The sequence below is a fragment of the Homo sapiens genome, chromosome 17 (assembly GCF_000001405.40).
Source record: "Homo sapiens chromosome 17, GRCh38.p14 Primary Assembly".
NCBI lineage: Eukaryota > Metazoa > Chordata > Mammalia > Primates > Hominidae > Homo > Homo sapiens.
Window position 1 is genome coordinate 43,035,442 of NC_000017.11, and position 1,563 is coordinate 43,037,004.

Sequence of the window (1,563 nt, forward strand, 5' to 3'; positions counted from 1 at the left end):
GCCCCGGGAACAGGAGACCACAGAGATGGGAATAAGGGCACAGAGAAGGTATTATGGGGAAACGAAGTGAACCCTCAAATGACAGTTTAGAATCCAGGCCTGGTGCAGTGGCTCACACTTGTAATCCCAGCTATTCAGGAGGCTGAGGTGGGAGGATCACTTGAACCCAGGTGAGACCAGCCTGGGCAACATAGGGAAACACTGTTTCTAGAAAAAATAAAAGAAATAAAAATTAGCTAAGCGTGGTGGCACATACTTATAGTCCTAGCTACTCAGGAGGCTGAGGTGGGAGGATCACTTGAACCAGGAGTGTGAGGCTGTAGTGAGCAGTGATCATACCACTGCACTCTAGCCTGGATGACAGAGTGGAACCCTATCTCAAAAAAACAAAACAAAACAAAAACCAAACAGGCCCAGTGCTGTGGCTCACACCTGTAATCCTAGCACTTTGGGAGGCCAAGGCTGGAGGATCACTTGAGCCCAGGAGTTCGAGAAAAATGTGGGCAACACAGTGAGACCTTGTCTCTACAAAAAATTAGCCAGGTGTCGTGGCCCACAGAAAGTTGAGGTGGGGGGATCACTTGAGCCTGGGAGGTAGAGGTTGCAGTGAGCTGAGATTGTGCCACTGTACTACTCCAGCCTGGGTGACAGAGCGAGACCTTGTCTCAAAGAAAAAGGATCCAGAGGTTAGAGTTTAAAATGCTTAGTTTTGCTATGTTCTTGCTGTTTGACCACAGCAAGGCTCACCTCCTCTCAGCACCTCAGTCTCTTCTTCTATAAAGTGAAGCGGTGATTTGCTCTCTAAGGTCCCTTCTCATTGTGTGAGAACAAGAGTCCCAGTGGCCTGGGAGCACAGGGGAGGGGAGGCGGCTGCCCACCCTTCAACACTATTACCCATCGGTCACTTGTGCTCTGTCTCCTCTCTCCCTTGGTAAATGGATCTGCTGCGCCAGCAAACAACTGTCCATTGTGTCCTGATGAGGGACGAGCAGGGAAAACCAATCACTTATGATGCAAATGAGCCGACGGCTGCAGCCTCCTCACATTCACTGAGTGCTTCTCTTCTGCCCAGAGCCCGGCGCCGCCCCAGTTGGGCCTTTCTCCCTAGCCCCAGTTCCCATCTGGTCCTGGAGGAGGAGTTGGGAGGCCCAGACTGGCCTCCCCATTGTCGTTCATTTCACTCCCTGCAAGGAGTTTCAACCCTCAAATCCTCAGAGCCTGGCCCAGCTCCTCTCCCCACCCCAAAGGTGGCTCAGTTTTATTTTTTTTAAAAATCGATTGAAATTCACATAACATACAATTAGCCATTTTAAAATGTACAATTCAGGGGCATTTAGTGCATTCACAATGTTGTGCAACCACCACCTCTGGACTCAGGTTTTATGCCCTCTGCCCATTCTTTCTTTTTTTTTTTTTTTTTGAGACGGAGTTTTGCTCTGTCGCCCAGGCTGGAGTGCAGTGGCAGGATCTTGGCTCACTGCAAGCTCCGCCTCCCGGGTTCATGCCATTCTCCTGCCTCAGCCTACCAAGTAGCTGGGACTACAGGCACCTGCCACCACGCCT

General features: G+C 50.6%; 1 annotated feature.

Moving 5' to 3' along the window:
• Positions 851-1,145: a silencer, noted in NCBI's record as "tiled region #8675; K562 Repressive non-DNase unmatched - State 23:Low". NCBI's record gives its function as "represses a minimal TATA promoter and a strong SV40 promoter by Sharpr-MPRA in K562 cells {active_cell/tissue: K562}" and the evidence as "EXISTENCE:reporter gene assay evidence [ECO:0000049][PMID:27701403]".